Here is a 20,201-nt window from a genome sequence, read left to right on the forward strand (position 1 = left end):
AAAAGAAACTTCTAGGTCTGGTAAATAGGGGCTAGACTTGAGCAACCACAGAGAGAGTCAAAATGCCTCAGTTTCCAACTCTGAATTAGTTTAGAAACTCAGATTCCCTTAAATGAAGAAAATTTTAAAACTCTTGAAACAATATGACACATAATTAATTTGAATAATTTGCCCATGTTTTTGTCAGCTCTCCAGTTTTCTGCCACAATTTCCTCCACAATTACCCTGACAATGTAGCTTTCCATAGGATATTACATAAATTCGTTACGTTTATAGGTGAAAGAACCTGGAAAACATAAAATAGAAATATCACACTCTAAATGTTTTGATAGAAATGTGTGTATCAGAGAGGAGAGAATAAATCTTATAAAAATACAGCACCCTACAAGAGCAGTAAAATTATTTAAGTTATAGTAGATGAGAATAGATAGATATATTTCATCAAAGGGAAAGAAAAAAATGATCCCCCTTTTACCTTCTACCACCGAAATTACTTAAATTATACTTGTCGAGCCCTTGAATTTTGGAGGCACTATATACCACATTTACACTTGTGTCTGTGACCCAGTGTTAAATGAGACCCAGGTCAAGAGACAACTCTTTGGCTGGTCTAGGATATTGTATAAACAGATCTATCACTCTGCCCTTATATGACAAAAAGAACCTTATGGGAATCACAACACCTGCAGTAGATTGGAATATTGTATGTATCCTGAGGGAAATCATAATAGGAGAATCATGCTAAAGATATCTAGAGTTTTGAAGTAAAGCTGATCCCTCTTTACTTTCTAAAACAGGTAATTATTCTGCTTTTAAAAACATTATTTGTTTTGTAACTAGGTCTTGTCCAGGAATCTTTTAGGCATAACTAACTTCAGACTTGGTCAAGACTGAAAATACTCCAAAAGTACCTGACAAAAGCAAACTCAAAAACCAGGATCTACAAAATTCTCACAACTGAAGCCACATTGAATAGGAGTTTACAATCCAAAGTTACAAAATAGTTGGGGAATTTCACCATGAGCCAGAGAAAGCAGACATATAAATATTAGGATTATACCCCCCACCAGTTTATAATTGAACAATAAGACAGAGGCTACAAAACAAAAATGTTTAAAATGACTACAGAAAGAAAAACTGAATATATATATATATACACTATATATATATTTAGTGTGTATATATATATACACTAAATATATATATATGGGGAGCAGGAAGTTTTGGAGGGAAAATACCTGAAATGAAAAATATATCCACTGAAATCACAACAGTAGATGTGTTAAGTTGGAATGTAGATAAAAGCATAAAGAAAATTAATTGGCTGAAAGATATATCTTTAAAAAATTAGTAAGAATGCTGTATTGACAGGTAAACAGATGGAAAATATGAATGAGAAATAAAGAGACATGGAGGATAAAATGAGAAGACTTAACATATCTGGAAAGGTTTTCTGAAGGAGATAAGTTATTGGAAGAGAAAATATCTGAAATTTTTAGCCTTGATAAAAGATAAGAATTGTGAAATTTAGAAACCCAACAGTCCCAAGTAGGATAAAAAAATAAGTTCACACCTAGACAATGTAGTAAAATGGTAGAACAGAAGAGATATAATGAAAATATTAAAGACATCTGGAGAAGCAGCATATTATCTAAGAAGAAATAATGTATAGTCTGGTCTCAATAAATTCAATGGTAACAATAGAAATCAAAAGATAATGAAACAATATATTCAGTGCTGAGATAAAGTAACTCTCAATTTGCTGTTGAGAGAATTCCATGTCCAGTTAAACTACCATTTAAGAATGATAATGAATTAAATGTTTTCAGATCCATATTGTATGAGTTTACCATTAACAGACGCTTACTAGTGAACTTCTAAGTATCTGCCTTAGTAAGAAAGAATCTCAATCTGTAAAGAAGGAAGTGTGAGCAAAGAGACTGAAAAAAAATAAGTAATTCCAAGCAAACTGCCGAATTTTATAATATAATCACAATAGCTATTAACTTTAGAAGTACAAAAACAAGTTCAAACTAAAGTATGTAAGGTTGACATTTAATACAGAATGATGGGTAATTAAAGTTCCAGTGTTTCAGGGCTCTTGTATTTTTCCAATAGAGGGAAGAGAGAGTGATTAATTATATACTTTGTTAAAGAAAGTTTGCATATTAGAATTTTAAGAGAAACACAGAAAAGAAACTGAATGCATAACTGTAAAACTACTAGGGTTGGAAGAGGTTATAAGATTCTTAATGCATGACTGCAGTAGACGAAGTGGCCACAGAAATTGATATATTCATAATGAACTGGATGTTTCTAATCCACCTATCATTAAGTTGGGCATACCCACAAGCATTCCATCATCTAGTGGAAGTAAACATATTCAAGATCTGAATGTTGCAGTTCCCCAGGTTGGACAAGCAAGTAGCTCACACTCCTAGCATGTCTACTCCAGCCACACAGTGACATTCTACCTTCTCCCACACCCATAGCCTTATAAAAAGTTGTCTAGGACCGTATTTTGAGTCTTATTTACAGAAGGCTTATCATGACATAGATAGAAATGGACTTTTACAATGCAACAGTGGTGGCTCTGAAGGATAGTGAAAACTAAAATTCTTCCAATGGGACAAATGTGAAATGCTTTAACTTGTGGTCAGGATGAAAGGAGAAATGCTCTCAGGTAAGCATCTACATCTACTAGCAGGTTCTTTAAAGAAGCAAAACAGAATTGATGACAAAGAGTCTTAGAGAAGAGCTATGTATACGAACTGGCAATGATCCCAGAATACACTCATGTCTCATGTGATATAAGTACTCCGACAAAATACTCCTCCATGGAGGATATTCTTCCAGATCAAGTAAGTAAGAGGATCCATTTGTTGTTGTTGTTGTTGTTGTTGTTTTGTTTCAAATTAGTACTAATCTTTAATCAAAGAGCTACAAATTCCCAGGTAGTCTTGGAAGCAAGACCGCTCAGTATTTTGGTAATGCTTGTATTTGACTTCTCTTCCTCCTTTGCAACCGTGCAAGGTTTCTGTCTGGGTTTCTTCAGAAGACCTCTGCCTCCTTTTCCTGGCATCATGGAGACCCAGGCCCTACCGAAATGCATTTAAGAGGCTTTAAACAATTAAATAATGCCAAGCGGATGGTGGTCAAGGGGTTTCTTCAGAAGACCTCTGCCTCCTTGTCCTGGCATCGTGGAGACCCAGGCCCTACCAAAATGCATTTAAGAGGCTTTAAATAATTAAATAATGCCAAGCAGATGGTGGTTAGCTCAGGGCAGATACGCTACAAAAAGTTAACTGAGGTCCCTCCAAGTTCATGGATGGAGCAAGGCTGACACTTCCCAGTGGGCCTCGGGTTTCTCCATCTGCTGTTCAGAGCCCAAGGGGAAGCTGCTAAGGCTTTCCATGCATCTACAGAAATACACTCTTTTTTACACAGCTGCAAGACTGTGCTTATGGTCTTTAATCTTCCTCTTTGAAAAGCATCCAATTTAGGAATTTTTGCAGTAATCATTTCAGAGTAATGAAAAACAGACAGAACAATAGAAAATTTCAGATGTGATATGCGCACTCTGTGCACTTCTCTCTAATGTACATTTAAAAAGATGTATTAGTCATCCTAAGGAACCTCTTTTGTCTTCTCACACAATCAAATTCTGCCTGTGTGCAGACCATAAACATCATAATACAGTTAATTTACCCAATATACTCATTTCTCCCTCATAACAATGCCCATAAGATAGCATTCAATTTTGTTTTAAAGTTTCCTTACATACAAGATGGGGTTTGGAATGAAATTTTTTCACCTTGCAGTCTTGCAAAGCACCATGGTAGAAGCTAATGTGTGCCATTTTGTCTGTTTCAAGTCTTTTTTTTTTTTTTAACTTTTTAATTTCCATAGGTTTTGCAGGAACAGGTGGTATTTGGTTTCATGAGTAAGTTCTTTACTGGTGATTTGTGGGATTTTGGTGCATTCATCACCGGAGCAGTATACATTGAATGCAATTTGTAGTCTTTTATCCCTCACCGACCTCCCGCCCTTTCCTCTGCATCCCGAAAGTCCATCGTGTCATTCTTATGCCTTTGCTTCTTCATTGCTTAGCTCCCACTTAATAGTGAGAACATAACAAAGTTTGGTTTTCCATTCATGAGTTACTTCACTTAGAATAATGGTCTCCAATTCCATCCAGGTTGCTACGAATGCCATTAATTCATTCATTTTTATGGCTGAGTAGTATTCCATGGTATATACATATATACCACAGTTTCTTTATCCACTCATTGATTGATGTGCATTCGGGTTGGTTCCATATCTTTGCAATTGTGAATTGTGCTGCTATAAGCATATGTGTGCAAGTGTCTTTTTTGTATAATGACTTATTTTCCTCTGGGTAGATACCCAGTAGTGGGATTGCTGTTTCAAATAGTAGTTCTACTTTTAGTTCCTTAAGAAATCTTCACACTGTTTTCTATAGTGATTGTACTAGTTTACACTCCCACCAGCAGGGTAGAAGTGTTCCCTTTTCACCACATCCATGCCAACATCCATATTTTTTGATTATGGCCATTCTTGCAAGAGTAAGGTGGTATTGCATTGTGGTTTTGATTTGCATTTCCCTGATTATTAGTGATGTTGAGCATGTTTTCCTGTTTGTTGGCCATTAGTATATCTTCTTTTGAGAATTGCCTATTCATGTCCTTAGCCCACTTTTTGATGGGATTGTTTGTTTTTTCTTGCTAATTTGTTTGAGTTCCTTGTAGATTCTGGATATTAGTCCTTTGTCAGATGTATACATTGTGAAGATTTTCTCCCACTCTGTGGGTTGTCTGTTTACTCTGCTGACTGTTCCTTTTGCCATGCAGAAGTTATTTAGTTTAATTAAGTCTCACCTATTTATGTTTGTTTTTGTTGCATTTGCTTTTCGGTTCTTGGTCATGAAGTCTTTGCCTAAGCTGATGTCTAGAAGGGTTTTTTCCATTGTTATCTTCTAGAATTTTTATAGTTTCAGGTCTTAGATTTAAGTCCTTGATCCATCTTGAGTTGATTTTTGTATAAGATGAGAGATGAGGATCCAGTTTCATTCTCCTACATGTGGCTTGCCAATTATCCCAGCATCTTTTGTTGAATAAGGTGTCTTTTCCCCACTTTATGTTTTTGTTTGCTTCTTGAAGATTGGTTGGCTGTAAGTATTTGGGTTTATTTCTGGGTTCTCTATTCTATTCCATTGGTCTATGTGCCTATTTAAATACCAGTACCATACTGTTTGGGTGACTATGGCCTTAAAGTATAGTTTGAAATCAGGTAATGTGATGCCTCCAGATTTGTTCTTTTTGCCTAGTCTTGCTTTGGCTATGTGGACTCTTTTTGGGTTCCACAAGAATTTTGTTTTCTCTAGTTCTGTGAAGAATGATGGTGGTATTTTGATAGAAGTTCCATTGAATTTGTAGATTGTTGTTTGGCAGTATGTTCATTTTCACAATATTGAGTCTACCCATCCATGAGCATGGGATTTGTTTCCATTTTTTTTTGTGTCATCTGTGACTTCTTTCAGCAGTGCTTCATAGTTATGCTTGTAGAAGTCTTTCACCTCCTTGGCTAGGTATATTCCTAAGTATCTTTTTTTGCAGCTATTGTAAAAGGATTTGAGTTCTCAATTTGATTCTCAGCTTGGTCGCTGGTGGTGTATAGCAGAGCTACTGATTTATGTATGTTAATTTTTTATCCTGAAACTTTGCTGAATCCATTTATCAGTTCTAGGAGCTTTTGGGAGGAGTCTTTAGGGTTTTCCAGGTATCCAATCATATCATCAGCAAACAGCAACAGTTTGACTTCCTCTTTACTGATTTGGATGCCCTTTATTTCTTTCTCCTGTCTGATTGATCTGGCTAGGACCTTCAGTACTATGTTGAATAGAAGTGGTAAGACTGGGAATCCTGTCTTGTTCTAGTTCCCAGAGGGAATACTTTCAAATTTTCCCATTCATTATTTATGCTGGCTGTGGGCTTGTCATAGATGGCTTTTATTACACTGTGGTATGTCGTCTGTTTGCCGATTTTGCTGAGGGTTCTAATCATGAAGGGATGCTGGATTTTGCCAAGTGCTTTTTCTGTCTATTGAGATGATCATGTGATTTTTGTTTTTATTTTATTTATTTATTTATTTATTTACTTGCATATGTTAAACCATCCCTGCATCCCTGGTATGAAACCCACTTGATCATGATATATTATCTTTTTGATATGATGTTGGATTTGGTTAGCTAGTATTTTGTTAAGGATTTTTGCATCTATATTCATCAGGAATATTGGTCTGTAGTTTTCTTTTTATTTTTTGTTATGTCCTTTCCTGGTTTTGGTAACAGGGTAATATTGGCTTCATAGAATGATTTAGGGAGGATTCTCTCTTTCTCCATCTTGTGGAATACAGTCAATAGGATTGGTACCAATTCTTTGAGTGTCCGATAGAATTCAGCTGTGAATCTGTCTGGTCTTGGACTTTTTTTTTGTTGGTAATTTTTTATTACTATTTCAACCTCACTTGTTGCTATTAGTTTGTTCAGGGTTTTTAATTCTACCTGATTGAAGCTAGGATGGCTGTCTCTTTCCAGGAATTTATCCTTCTTCTTTTGGTTTTCTACTTTATGCACATAAAGGTGTTCATAGTAACCTTGAATGACTTTTTGTATTTCTGTGGTGTTGGTTGTACTATCTCCTGTTTTGTTTCTAATTGAGCTTATTTGGATCTTCTATCTTCTTTTCTTGGTTAATCTTGCTAATGGTGTACCTATTTTATTTATTTTTCCAAAGAACCAGCTTTTTGTTTCATTTATCTTTTGTATTGTTTTTGTTTGTTTGTTTCTGTTTCATTTGGCTGTACTCTGATCTTGGTTATTTCTTTTCTTTTGCTGGGTTTGGGTTTGGTTTGTTCTTGTTTCTATATTTCCTTGAAGTATGACCTTAGATTGCCTATTTGTGCTCTTTCAGACTTTTTGATGAAGGCATTTAAGGCTATCAACTTTCCTCTTAGCACCGCCTTTGCTGTATCCCAGAGGTTTTGATAGATTGTGTCACTGTTATTGTTCAGTTCAAATAGTTTTTTAATTTCCATCTTGATTTCATTGTTGACCCAATGATCATTCAGGAACAGGTTATTTAATTTCCATGTATTTGCATGGTTTTGAAGGTTCCTTTTGGAGTTGATTTCCAATTATATCCCACTGTGGTCTGAGAGAGAACTTGATATAATTTCAATTTTCTTAAATTTATTGAGACTTTGTGCCCTACCATATGGTCTATCTTGGAGAAAGTTCCACTTGCTGATGAATAGAATGTATATTCTGTGGTTGGGTAGAATGTTCTGTAAATATCTGTTAAGTCCATTTGTTCCAGGGTATAGTTTAAATCCATTTTTTCTTTGTTGACTTTCTGTCTTGATGACCTGTCCAGTGCTGTCAGTGGAGTATTGAAATCCCCTATTATTATTGTGTTGCTGTCTATCTCGCTTCTTAGGTCTAGTAGTAATTGTTTTACATATTTGGGAGCTCCAGTATTAGGTGCATATATATTTAGGATTGCAGTATTTTCCTGTTGGACAAGGCCTTTTATCATTATGTAATGTCACTCTTTGTCTTTTTTAACTGCTGTTGCTTTAAAGTTTGTTTTGTCTGATATAACAATAGCTACCCCTGCTTGCTTTTGGGGTCCGTTTTCATGGAATTTCTTTTTCCACCCCTTTACCTTAGGTTTTTGTGAGTCCTTATGTGTTAGGTGAGTCTCTTGGATGACCCATAATTTAAATATCAGTCAGTCTCCTTCTACAACCACCCTAGAGTTTGTTCAGTGGTCTTAAAAAACAAACTAGCCATAGTGATTGACCTAGAAGCAAGGCAAAAATCTCTGCAAAGGGGACTTCTTATGGAATTTGACCCAGCTACTACCACAGCTGAAAATCCAATTTGCCAATTACTATGTTTAACCCCAATACCCAATATGGTCTCATACAACAGGGACCACTCAGCTAGCTGGTAGCAAGCTGATTACATTGAATACCATTCTGCATGGAGAGGGAAAAAATTTATCCTCACTAGAATAGAGTTGTTATCTATTTAGATTTGTTTTCCCTGCCTACCACTCTCTGCCAGCACCAGTGCGGACCTACTGAATGTTAATAGAAAATTGCAATGATCACATAAAGACAGTATCACAAGGGAATAAAGGTTAGGGTCTCCTCACCAGATAAAATCCCCATCCAGCTGTGGGTTTGGCTGGATGCAAAGGAAAATGGAATGGATAGTCAGTAATAGAAATTATGAATAAATTGCCACTTATTTCTGGTTGTCCATGAAAATCACTGACACGTAAATAATGTAGTCTTGTGTTGGTGTAGTCTTGCCAGCCAAAATGATTTCATAGGGCTTTTCCCTCAGAAGCTTACAGTATAAAAATAATATGGTCTCTTCTGGTTCCAGGTGCTTTGGGAGCTGGGTGTTACAGTGCAGACAAGGCCAAGTCCAAGAACCACACCACACACAACCAGTCCCGAAAATGGCACAGAATGGCATCAAGAAACCCCGATTGCAAAGATATGAATCTCTTAAGGGGGTGGACCCCAAGTTCCTGAGGAACATGGGCTTTGCCAAGAAGTGCAACAAGAAGGGCCTAAAGAAGATGCAGGCCAACAATGCCAAGGCCATGAGTGCACGTACTGAGGCTATCAAGGTCCTCATAAAGCCAAAGGAGGTTAAGCCCAGATGCCAAAGGGTGTCAGCCTCAAGCTCAATCAATTTGCCTACATTACCCACCCCAAGCTTGGGAAGTGTGCTTGTGCCCGCATTGCCAAGGGTCTCAGGTTGTGTGGGCCAAAGGCCAAAGCCAAGGATCAAACCAAGGCCCAGGCTGCAGCTCCAGCTTCAGTTTCAGCTCAGGCTCCCAAAGATGCCCAGGCCCCTACAAAGACTTCAGGGTAGAGATCTCTGTCTGCCAACGTGAGGACAGAAGGACTGGTGTGACCCACCCTGGGCTGCCATCAGCATGGGGCTGGTGTCTTCCTGTGCTATTTGTATAAATAAGCCTGAGGCAGGAAAATAATAACAATAATAATAATAATATGGTTTTTCCTCAATTAAAATTTATATTTCAATAGTGATTATACTTTTTCAAATTTTTACATGCTGCCCCCAAAACACATATATACCTCCCTGGTAATAGACTAAGAATGAGTACTTCAGATCAATGCATGGGACTCTACAGTTAGGGTGAAGTTAGTTCTCCTGTGGGCTACACACTCCTAGAAGTAGAGCTCTTAGGAATGTACAGACTGCTCATAAATCAGTTAGTCTATTATTGTAGCACTCAATGGGCATAAGTTTCCTCAGTGCTCTCAAAATCATTAACACATTATTTGAGTCATCAAGAAGGTGTTCTATCCAAAGCCTTAGCATTTCTTTCTATCTTTAAGGCCAGTCACTTATAAAAAGAGATATTCAAGGTGAGACAATGTCACCTTAAGAAAATATACACGCAGATCCCCATAAGGCAAATCATATGATTTTAAGAAACAAAACACTGAAGTGCTGTTTGATATCTAATTTGAAACTTTATTATGTTAGCAATTACATGAGTGGGGATTTTTCCAGTAATTCTTCCATGTGATTATCCTGGCTGTTAGATTCAAAATGACCTTCATACAAAGACAGATAATATCGCAAGCTAATGAGGAGAGGCGTCCTGTGTAGGCAGGGCAGGAATGAGTCACAGGCATCCTTCATAAAAGTAATTATGCACCTGCTGGGGAGTGTTTTCTGACTCCAGTAAATATTGATGTGCCTTTTCCCTGCATTGCAAGATGAAGATTTGTTGAAGGTTGTGATCTACCATAGTTTTCACAAAAGTCTTTTTTGGGGGCTATTTTATTTACTAGAATTATACAAACACAAGTCAGTCAAGCCTGAGCTGCAAGTGGACAATAGAGTTAAATATGTTATCAGATGTAAAAGACAAAAAAAAAAATCAGAAACCAACAAGCTATAGCTTCAGGCACAACAGCCAGGAAGGAAATTTTCCCAATTTACTAACTAAAATCTGGAATGAGGAGAAACTTCTGTTCCCATAACAGGGCACAGACACAGAGTGATAGCAGGCTCTAACCAAGATCCTAAAGTCAATCTAACAATGTAAGGACTTTATTGTTTGCAGAGGCAGGTAGGGAATAGTGTCATTGAAAACACCCAGATTTTGTTCTGCTAAAAATCCAGTTGAGCTGGGAACAGTGGCAGATACTTGTAGTCCCAGCTACTAGGGAGGCTGAGATGAAGGATCACTTGAGCCCAGGACTCTGAGACAGCCTGGACAGAATGAGTCCTCATTGCTAAGGAAAAAAAAAATTTAATAAAATTTTTTTAAAATTAAAAATTTACAAAGAACCCAGTTGACTCTTTTTTTTTTTTTTTTTTTTTTTTTGTGAGGGAGTCTCATTCTCTCCCAGGCTGGAGTGCAGTGGCACCATGTTGGCTCACTGCAACCTCCGCCTCACGGGCTCAAGCAGTTCTCCTGCTTCAGCCTTCCAAGTAGCTGGGATTACAGCCACCCACCACCACGCCCAGCTAATTTTTGTACTTTTAGTAGAGATGGAGTTTTGCCATGTTGGCCAGGCTGGCTTTGAACTCCTGGCCTCAAGAGATTCCCCCCAACCTTGGTCTCCCAAAGTGCTGGGATTACAGACGTGAGACATTGTGCCTGACCCCCATTGACTTTTGACCTGTGTAAGTAGTCTTCATTGTTTCATCTGCTACTATCTCTTGTGTTCACCACACCCAGTATTTCTTTAAGATTAGGTACTTAGTTAACTTTCTTTTTATCACATGAAAGCACTTCCATTATTCAGAATGACTTTTGCATTTCCATTGTCAACTCTTCCACATCAGTTTCTAGGTTTTGCCATCCCTAGGAAACTTCAACACCCCCACTTCGGTCACCCACTCCCACAACCACATCCTGAACATCCTAGACACTTGTTACAACTCCATGCTTGAAATGTTCAGTTCCCACCCACCACTATCCAATCCCAGTATCCTGTCCTTCTTGCTGTCTCATTCAGTTACTCCTTCACCTGCTCCTGATCCACAAGTCCTCCTATTCCTTTTTCACTTCAGAGACCATCCTTGTCTTCATATATTTCCTTGTTCAACTTAGAGTCCATATCTCCACACCTGAATTATTTTCTTGCCAAAACTTTTACTACCTTGCCTCACTGTCTTTTCAATGTTCTCACTTGGTAAATAGCCTAACACAGAATTAACCTGTATCAATTTTTATTTAACTTCTGTGGCCTATCAAATCATCTTCCTCACCTTGGTCCCTCCTTATTCTTAGTGGAGAAAATAGAATGCCTTTTACTTAATGAAGAAAATAGAAGCCATGAAGTGGAAATGCCCTCAATGCTTTGCCATCCCACCTACAACCTTACATGCATTTGTCAATACCCATTCTTGTTACCTCACTGCCTTTCCAATGAAGTTGTGTTTCTCTAGTTGTCTGAGTACTTCTTCATCCGTGCTCTGGATTGGGTAGCTTTCAGCTCCCACTTAAATGTATTTTTTCATAATTAAAAACTTTTTAATTTAGTAATTTTTAACAGTAACTTAGTTAATCATCTATGGAATGTTTTCCATCAGTATATTCACAGTCCACATTGCCCCTTTTTAAAAATTTTCCTTTTCTTTTGGCCAGTTTCTCCAAAGAGCCATTTAATAACAGCAAGTTTTTGAGCATCTACTATGAACTAGGTGTTTTACATAAATTAGCACTTACCACATAAGGTAGCTATTATTATTCCAGTTCTGCAGATTAGGAAACTGGATCTTAGATGCAGTTATGTAAATTACTTAACATTCCACAGTGACTGTGGCAGATTTGGGACTGGAACCTAGGTCTGTCTACACTGAAATTTGTCTGTTTCTTTTTGTAACTTTGCCTTGGTTGCCCTCTCCCTGATCTACAGTGTATGTTTTTCCTATTTCCATCTCTTTACATCTGCAAAAAGGCAAAGTAAAGGAGAGTTGATAGCAGCAAAAAGAATCACTTACCAAGGTAAAGAGCTTGTTCAACTAATGGGAACAGAAGGAATCAGAAGGACCTAGGCTGACCTCAGCCTGACTTCTCCTTAAGGAATCCAGAGTGAATGAATGGTGGCCTGGAAAAAAGACACTGACTCCCACTTCCCACAGTGCTCCATGCTATACTCTTAAAGATAGCGTACCAGCAAATGGGGCTGCAAACTGGCCCAGCCTCCCTCAGATTAGCCTCAGATCTTACAGCGAATGGAACTCAAAGGCCCCAAGAGAGATATTAGGTACTCAGCTGCACACTGAATCTACACCACTCACACTCAGGTGTTCTGGTGAGGATGGGCACCTTGACAGACCTGTGAGTCACTCATTGACTGCTTACTGGGGATCTATTAAGGAGGAAACACTGTACTATGAAGGGAAATCCAATAGAAAGCTTATCATTGACCATTTTATAAAATAGTGGGGCAGATAGATCATGTGCATAATGAATTGTATTAAAGATAGAAAACAAGTTCCTAAGAGAAATACAAGTAAAGTACAACTTGTGGCCAAAGAAGGGAAATATTACTTCCAAACCATGGCAGGAAAAAGAGCTTTCTCAAAAACATAGAATTTAAACTGGAGCAGAGAGAATTTGGAACTGTAGAGACAGTTTTAAAGGACAGGTCATGGGACCGTACCAATAGAAGCTACCAGCTAGGAATGTGATGCAGTGTGTGTGTGTGTGTGTGTGTGTGTGTGTGTGTGTGTGTGTGTATGTGTGTGTGTGTGTGTGATCTGAAGAGAAACCTAAACATGAAGTAGTTATGGTAAAGAGCTAAAAGTCTGAGCTATCTAAAACATTGAAAATGGGATGGCTAGGAGAAGAAGATGTTTTTGGAAAAGCCCTCCAATCTCTTTCTCTCTTTCTAAGACCACTCCTGGCTCCTCATCTTTCCTTATTCAGAGTAGACTGGGTTCAACCCTTGATGGCTTTTGCATGCCAGGCTAAAAACTATGGGCCATAGGCATTAGAATTGGGGAGATTATGAAATATACTGTTTGTGTTTGCTTTTTGACCAGGCATGAGAAACTCAGAGCTATTCTTTAAGAAGGTTAATCTAATAGCAGTATTTGAAGAAATCAGAACACTAGAGAGACAGAAATCAAGCCAAAGTTGTCAAGATTATGAATAGTATTAGGGTTTTTTTGAAATTGTGAAGTTTTTCCACTCACTATAATATCAAAGACCACCTATTAAAACCTATTTATGATACCATTCTCTGTCTCATTTACGCAATTGACATTTCAAAGACACGAATTTTATCATCAGCTTTTGTAAACCTCATGGCCTTATTTCTTTAAAAAAAAGATACAAAAGGACAAATGACACTATGAACTGAAAAAATATTTAAGTAATAAAATATAGACTTCAGCAGTACAGAGAAAGAAATACACTTTGGCAAAGTTTTTAACTACCTAGGCACTTGTTAAAATACAGATTATCAGGCTCATGAGAGCTAGGTCAGCAAGCTTTTCTGTAAAGGGACAGAAAGTAAATAATTTAGGCTTTGTAGGACACTTGGTCTCTGTCAAAAATACTAAACTCTGTTCTTGTAGCAAAGAAGCAGCCACATAAAAGTCATAAAAGAAAAGATATGGTTATGTTATGAGAAAACTTTATTTATATAAATGGTACATGGGCATTCAATAGTAGCAAAACTTAGGGGCTGAAAATTTGATGAGAGATGGGATGTTTACCTAATCTTAAAGTATATTCTCATAAAATATATATTAAATGCTTACTAATTAATAAGTACTTAATATGTATTAATTAACTTCTCCAATAGAGAAACCTAGAAGACACAATGTTAGCCATGTGGTAAAAATGAACATCACCAGAAATCGTATGCTACTTGAAATAATATACTAAAAAGAGCACAGCATCATTTCTGTGATATCCCTGCAAAAGATACAAAACCTGAATCTATTCAGGAGCAAATGTCTGTCAAACACGAATTGAAGGATGTTCTACAGAGTAACTCTTATGGACTCTTCAAACATTTCAACGTCATTAAAAGAGAAAGAAACTGAAGAACTTATCTGATCGAAAGAGACTAAAGTGATATGGCAAGTAAATATAATGCATGATCCTGGACCTTTGAAAGGACATTATTGGGACAATAAGCAAAATCTGATTAGGATCAGTAGATTAGATGGTAACATGGTATCAATGTGAATTTTCTGATTTTTATGGTTGTACTATGGTTATATAGGAGAATGTTCTTGTTTTTAGAAAATGCACACTGAAGCATTAAGGTGTAATGGGGCTTAATATCTCTAACTCTCTTGAATGGTTGAGAAAAAAATAAAATGTATAAATGCAGGGAGTGACAGAACAACACAATATGGTAAAATATTAGTAATTGCGGTATCTGGTTGTAGAGTATAAAAGAATTCTTGAAACTATCAGTTTCAGGTTATTCAAAATAAAAAGTTAAAAAATGTTTGGCTATCAGCTTCAGGTTATTCAAAGTAAAAAGTTAAAAAATGTTTGGCTGTAATACATCAACTAAAGACAGAAAAAAAAATGCCCAAATCCCTGGGAATAGATGAAAGAAAGAAATTTTAAAGCAATGAGAGAGTGATATGACCAATTCATACATTGGGCAGATCATCAATTCATCAGAAATTTCCATCTGACTTTGAACAGAATCTTCCCAACTTCCAACAACATGTGATTCAATTAAGGAAAAAACAAAATTGAACCTTGTCAAACAGAAAATGCTAATGAAACCATGATGTACTTCAAAATGGCTCAAAATAACTTCATCAATGTTAAAGGAGCTAAACAATCAAAATCACAAGCAAGAGTTATAAAAAGTAGCATATGACTGTGACGTCATTTGTATTGGAATGTCCTAGAGTTGCCATTATATTTAAATTTAAACTAAAAAGTATTTACCTAAGAAGGGGGCAAATCTAGGTATTATTGAACTCCAAATTTATGCAATTTGTAGATCCTTCTCTAGAAAAAAGAATACAAAATTATGTACAACAATTAATGTTTATTAAGAAAGGCAAAATAAATTATGGTAAACTACAAATCTTAAGAAGCTGAGAAGTATAAAAAAAAAAGAATGTTTTATAAATTAGATGTTTGGCATGGCTTTTTCATACTTTTCCCTATATTTTGTGGCTACATATCTTTACCTTTCCATATGACAAAATTCTGCATTATCATAATCTATACAGAGAAAGGAATGGGCTGTGCTAGTGAGAAGCCCTAAAATTGAAACTTTATTAACTACAAGTGAACCTGTCACTGCCCCTGGATAAAATGTTTCTCAAAGATGTTACTATGCTTGCAGAGGACATTGAGGGATGACCTCTGAGCTTATGAAAGGCCTAGATAAGTTAGAAATCCAGGAGCTATACTGAACCATCCAAGTATGTTGACCCTTCAAGCATTTTATGAATATATAAAGGTGAATAGCTAAAGAATAAGCTTTTGAAACCTAATGGGACTTGGTTACTATTTATGTACAAGAGCAACACAGATAAAAGTCTATTGCTAACTAAGTTTAGAAGAGTTCCTTCAACAAGAATAAATAAAAATTCTGAGCAATAAGAAGGCCTGGGGTTGGGGGGAGGTACATAAAATATTGGTACGTCTTACAATCAAGGGCTTCTTGGATTCATTTGGCAGTTTATTTTGTTCCCTTGCTGATTATGAGCTATTCTAGCTCACAATTCAAGGAATTTAGGACAACTAAAACAAAGCATTTATAACAAATGAAAATGTACAGTGATTTAAAACCTCTCTAAGTTAGGGGCTGGGTTGGGATCTATTAGGAGATTTAGGATCTGGTCTAAGTAGGGTCCCAGCGGTGGGATGGCATTCAAAAGCAAGCAGGAGCAGAAAGAGCCAGAGAATGACTTGATCTAAAGCCCTATGAAAGGTATAAAGTGAGAAAGCTAATTCCAGAGCAGAAGGAAGAAGGTCAAGAGTGAAGTCACGCAGAACTTGGGGGACTGCCAGGAACAGGACTTAGAGCCCCAGTGTTGCCCTGGTTAAAGTCCCACATAGCTCAGCCTTCCTGTCCTGGTTCCTGAGAGAGCCCAGGAACGCAGCTAGAAATCATCTGCCATATCTGAAGCAGTTGAAAGAATTGCACCTGTTTAATCACAAAAGGCAAAGCTAAAGAAGAGCTTGAAGTATTCTCAGATTAAAGAGCTGCTGCCATGCAGAAAAAGGAGCAAATTTATTCCATATTTCCATGGAAAAACTAAAATCAGCATGTGAAATTTACCAGGAGACAGATTTTGAGTCCTTAAAGCAGGAGCTTGGCTGGAATTATTTGCCTTTGTTCACCTAGAAGAGTGCCTGGAACATCCTAAATTACCAATACTATTTGTTAAATTGATTAATACAAATAAGAAATAATTGTTCAACAATTACAGTAGTTTGATTATGGAGTAGAATCTGATGATTCTTTCTGAGCTTTGGGTATTTTATCAGGGATTTGACCACAACGACAATCTTAGACATAAAATTGAACATGCACCAGGCACTATTCAAAGTGTCTTACACATATTATTACATTTAATTCTCACAGCCACCCTTGAAACCAGTTGTACTATTAATCCCATTTTACAGATGAGGCAACTGAGACACAGAGAGATTATAGTACTTGTTCAAAGTCATGCAACAGAGTCAGGATTTGAACTCAGGGGACCTGGTTCTTGCCTCTCTGTCTCGCTGCATCCCGTTATCCCATCTGACAGAGAAGAGCTGGAATTGAGTCCAATATCACAAGAGAGGTTAATTGAGTGTTCTCTTCCTACATACTATGATTCTCAGACCATGCTGGATATCAATTTTTGCTAATGTCAGATCAACCACCTCATTTTTGGCTAGTTTAATCTATATTAGCAAGATTGAATATTTAGACATATTAAACAAAACACCCATAAGATGCCACAACACAAGATGCATGACACTACACATATAAAACAATAAATCCTTTATGACCATAAAAATATTGAATAAAAACTAAAATATATTTTGATTCTGGGGGGGCTCTCCTCCAGGTCTTCAACTTTATCAAAAGTAGCATTTACTTGCTTTCTTCAGTTTCCAAGAGCTTGGAGAGTTCAGTGGCGCCAGCACAACCCCCATTAAAAATGCTCACTCAGCCTCGCCCAGATGCCTAGCAACTTTCTGTTTATTCCACTACAGTCAATTCAAAGTCACAAGAATGACACAGGTGATAAACTGTAGGAGCACAGGTGATGTATGCAGTGAGGCAGCCTGACTGAGAATGCATGCCCAATGAAGAAAAATCACTCTGAAGGGTTCAGGGTCAATAATTATGCTGATAGGGAAATCAGCAAAGAGGCAGGTGTCCTGGATAACAGGACATATTTCTTAGCCAGGAAATTATATTTTAAATGAAGGTAAGAAAACATGCTGCTTTGAGGTTGCCAGGTAATCCCAAGAAATATAATGTAGGATTTGTTCCCAAGAAAAGGATTAGGGTAATAGCAATTATTGTGCACCTACGGGGTATTGTAGACTGTACCAGACATGTCGTCATTATTATCTAATTTAATTTTCCCAAAGCCCAAGGTCAATCAGATAGTAAATGGCAGAGTTACAATTTGAACTCAGTTCCTTAGGATTCCAAATCCACTCTCCTCCTACTATATTAAGCTCCTCAATATATTGAGCAATATCTTGACAAATTTGCCCTTAAGAAACCATTCTGGTTTTTTTCCCAGGGTCTAATGCTACATAAGATATCTGAAGTGGTTGTCTTATGAGATCGTGCAGCCAAATTATTTTGTGGAAATGTTAAAGAATAAGCATTATGGGTTATAAGCAGCTTCTTGATGGTACCAAAGATGCAAGTGTCCCTGGACTTTTCAAGAAGAAAGTTGTGGCCAACCAGCATACTTAAGCTAGAAATGATGGAGATAGTGCTTAGCTCTCATCAGCTCTGCTAGAGTATCTACCTCGCAGATTGAGATGTGGGCCTTTGTAGACTGAAAACTGCATCTCTCCAGAAATGAATTCCCTATTATGTGATGAAAGAACCCAACCAGGAAACACAACCACAACAGAGAACCTCAGGCAAATATACCCATGAAGACAGAACTGAGGGGATCTAAGACTGCCATAGAAGGCCAACTTTAGCTAATGCAACCTCTGATGGAAAGAGAGTGAAAAGTTTGGATATTAGACCATTAGGGAGAAACAAAAGCATATATTAAGAAAAGAAGATTCCAAAGGTACACACCAGCTGTCTTCAGAGTTCTCTGTAGCTATGGAAATAAAGCAGGGAGCAGAGATTAGATGTGTTAGAGATTCATCTTTCAGGCCACCAAAGAAATAACTTCCTAATAATCAGAGCCAACTGAAAACAGAATGAGTTGTGTGAAGAAGTTGGAAGATCCCTGTTAATGAAGGTGTCATCTCTCCCTTCGTTAAAATGAAAGAGAACAAAAAAGAAATAACTTAGCCAAATTGCCATTGCCATGGGTACTATGACGATGTCACATACTTTTTGTGTTTATGATTCTCTCCAGTGCCTTTCTCTTTAAAAAAAAAAAAAAAAAGACCTACAACAATCGCTCCATGTTTGGAAAATTATCTTTCCTGACTTTTCTGTTAGTAGAATGCAGTAAGGATACTGTTCGCAGTAACTTCCCCAACTAAGATCGGATCATGCTTCTTTCCAGTCACCCTATTTGGCTCCCAGACTCATCACTCTCTGTGGCATGTTACTTTTACCAGCATGTCTGTGGCTCACCCAGAAATGCAACCCAATGGATTTTGTTGTTCTGTAACAGCAGTGGGAGAATCAAGTGTAGACAGCAAAAGTTAGAACACAGATCATGATAAAATATCCCCCTTACCAATTATACATTGTTCTGTTTGGACCAATATTTCCCCTCATCCCTGAATTTACCCATTGTCAGTTTCCAGATAATACTTTTCTTTGCTTTTCAGATTCACTTTAAGTGCATACGTCAATATTCTTGGGCTAGCTCCTCTGGCCTCCATTGCTGACTCTTGTCGCATTACCACTTTTGTATTCAAGGAACCATGGAATTTCAGAGCTGCAAGAGAACCTAGAGATCATTTACACCAAATGCCTAATTTTATGGATGGGAAAACTGAAGCTTCTAGAGCTGATATGACTTGCCCAAGGTCATAGGATTAGCAGCATAACTGGAACCACTGTTTTAATGGTGTCGACCTGACTTCCCTGTCATAGGGATGTTGTCCATTTTCAGGTACTGGGCACTAATGACATCTAAGCTACCCTAACACCTGCCATCTGATCATTTCCTCTATTGAAGTCCCAAGCAACCAGGATCTGGCTGGTTCATCTCTTAACACAGCAGGAAAAAAATATATATATATAGACCTCTCTTCATCAAATACAATTGCTCCTTTTGGTTGTGAGATCATTGTACAGAGGTACCAGTTCAATAAGAAAGCTTGTTTTGCTTTTGCACACTAAGATTAACATGTGTGTATGTGTGTGTGTGTGTTAAAGGAGAGATTTAAACAAAAGAGTAATATGAATGAAAAATCATGTAAAATAAAGCAACATTAATCATAAAAGGAAGACATTTTTCTTCCCAACTGCCACCTAAATCAAATATTTTGAGTTTTTATTTATTAAAAATTTCATATAGATTTGAACAAAAATGACATATTTTCTAAATTCTGAAAAAGAACAAATCTGGGATGTCAAAAATCTCAAGCCAAATCTGTGCCATACATTTTTGTCTTTCATTTTGAGTTCCTAATCAGTACTAAATTGCTACAGATGGCACAGATATTGTCATCCTATAAACATCAGTTCATCTAGAGACCAACCAGCCCACAGCCCATCTGGAGGAAGAAAATAAACCAATATCCACTGAGTACCAACTATATGCTAGCCTCTTCTATATACATTATCTCATGGTAATTCCCACAACAATCCTGCAAGGTAGATATTGTTATTCCATTTGTTTTCCATAGAAAGAGGAAACTGAGCTCATATACTTTGCAAATGGTAGAGCTAGAATTCGAGTGTAGATCTAAGTGATCTCTTTTTTTCTCTACATCATGCCGTGTGTTACCCTC

The 20,201-nt window shown here is 37.2% G+C and overlaps 1 long non-coding RNA gene and 1 pseudogene across 1 annotated transcript in view, besides 1 other annotated feature; one reads left to right on the forward strand and one right to left on the reverse strand.

The window, feature by feature from the left end:
• LINC00970 (long intergenic non-protein coding RNA 970) overlaps positions 1–20,201 on the reverse strand; it is a 183,101-nt gene that overhangs the window by 26,051 nt on the left and 136,849 nt on the right. The gene's annotated exons all lie outside the window — the stretch shown is intronic.
• Positions 3,783–3,983: a silencer, noted in NCBI's record as "peak446 fragment used in MPRA reporter construct". NCBI's record gives its function as "represses an SCP1 promoter by STARR-seq MPRAs in K562 erythroleukemia cells {active_cell/tissue: K562}" and the evidence as "EXISTENCE:reporter gene assay evidence [ECO:0000049][PMID:32103011]".
• On the forward strand, positions 8,462–9,089 carry RPL29P7 (ribosomal protein L29 pseudogene 7; annotated as a pseudogene).

This window comes from Homo sapiens, chromosome 1 (assembly GCF_000001405.40).
Source record: "Homo sapiens chromosome 1, GRCh38.p14 Primary Assembly".
NCBI classification, from domain to species: domain Eukaryota; kingdom Metazoa; phylum Chordata; class Mammalia; order Primates; family Hominidae; genus Homo; species Homo sapiens.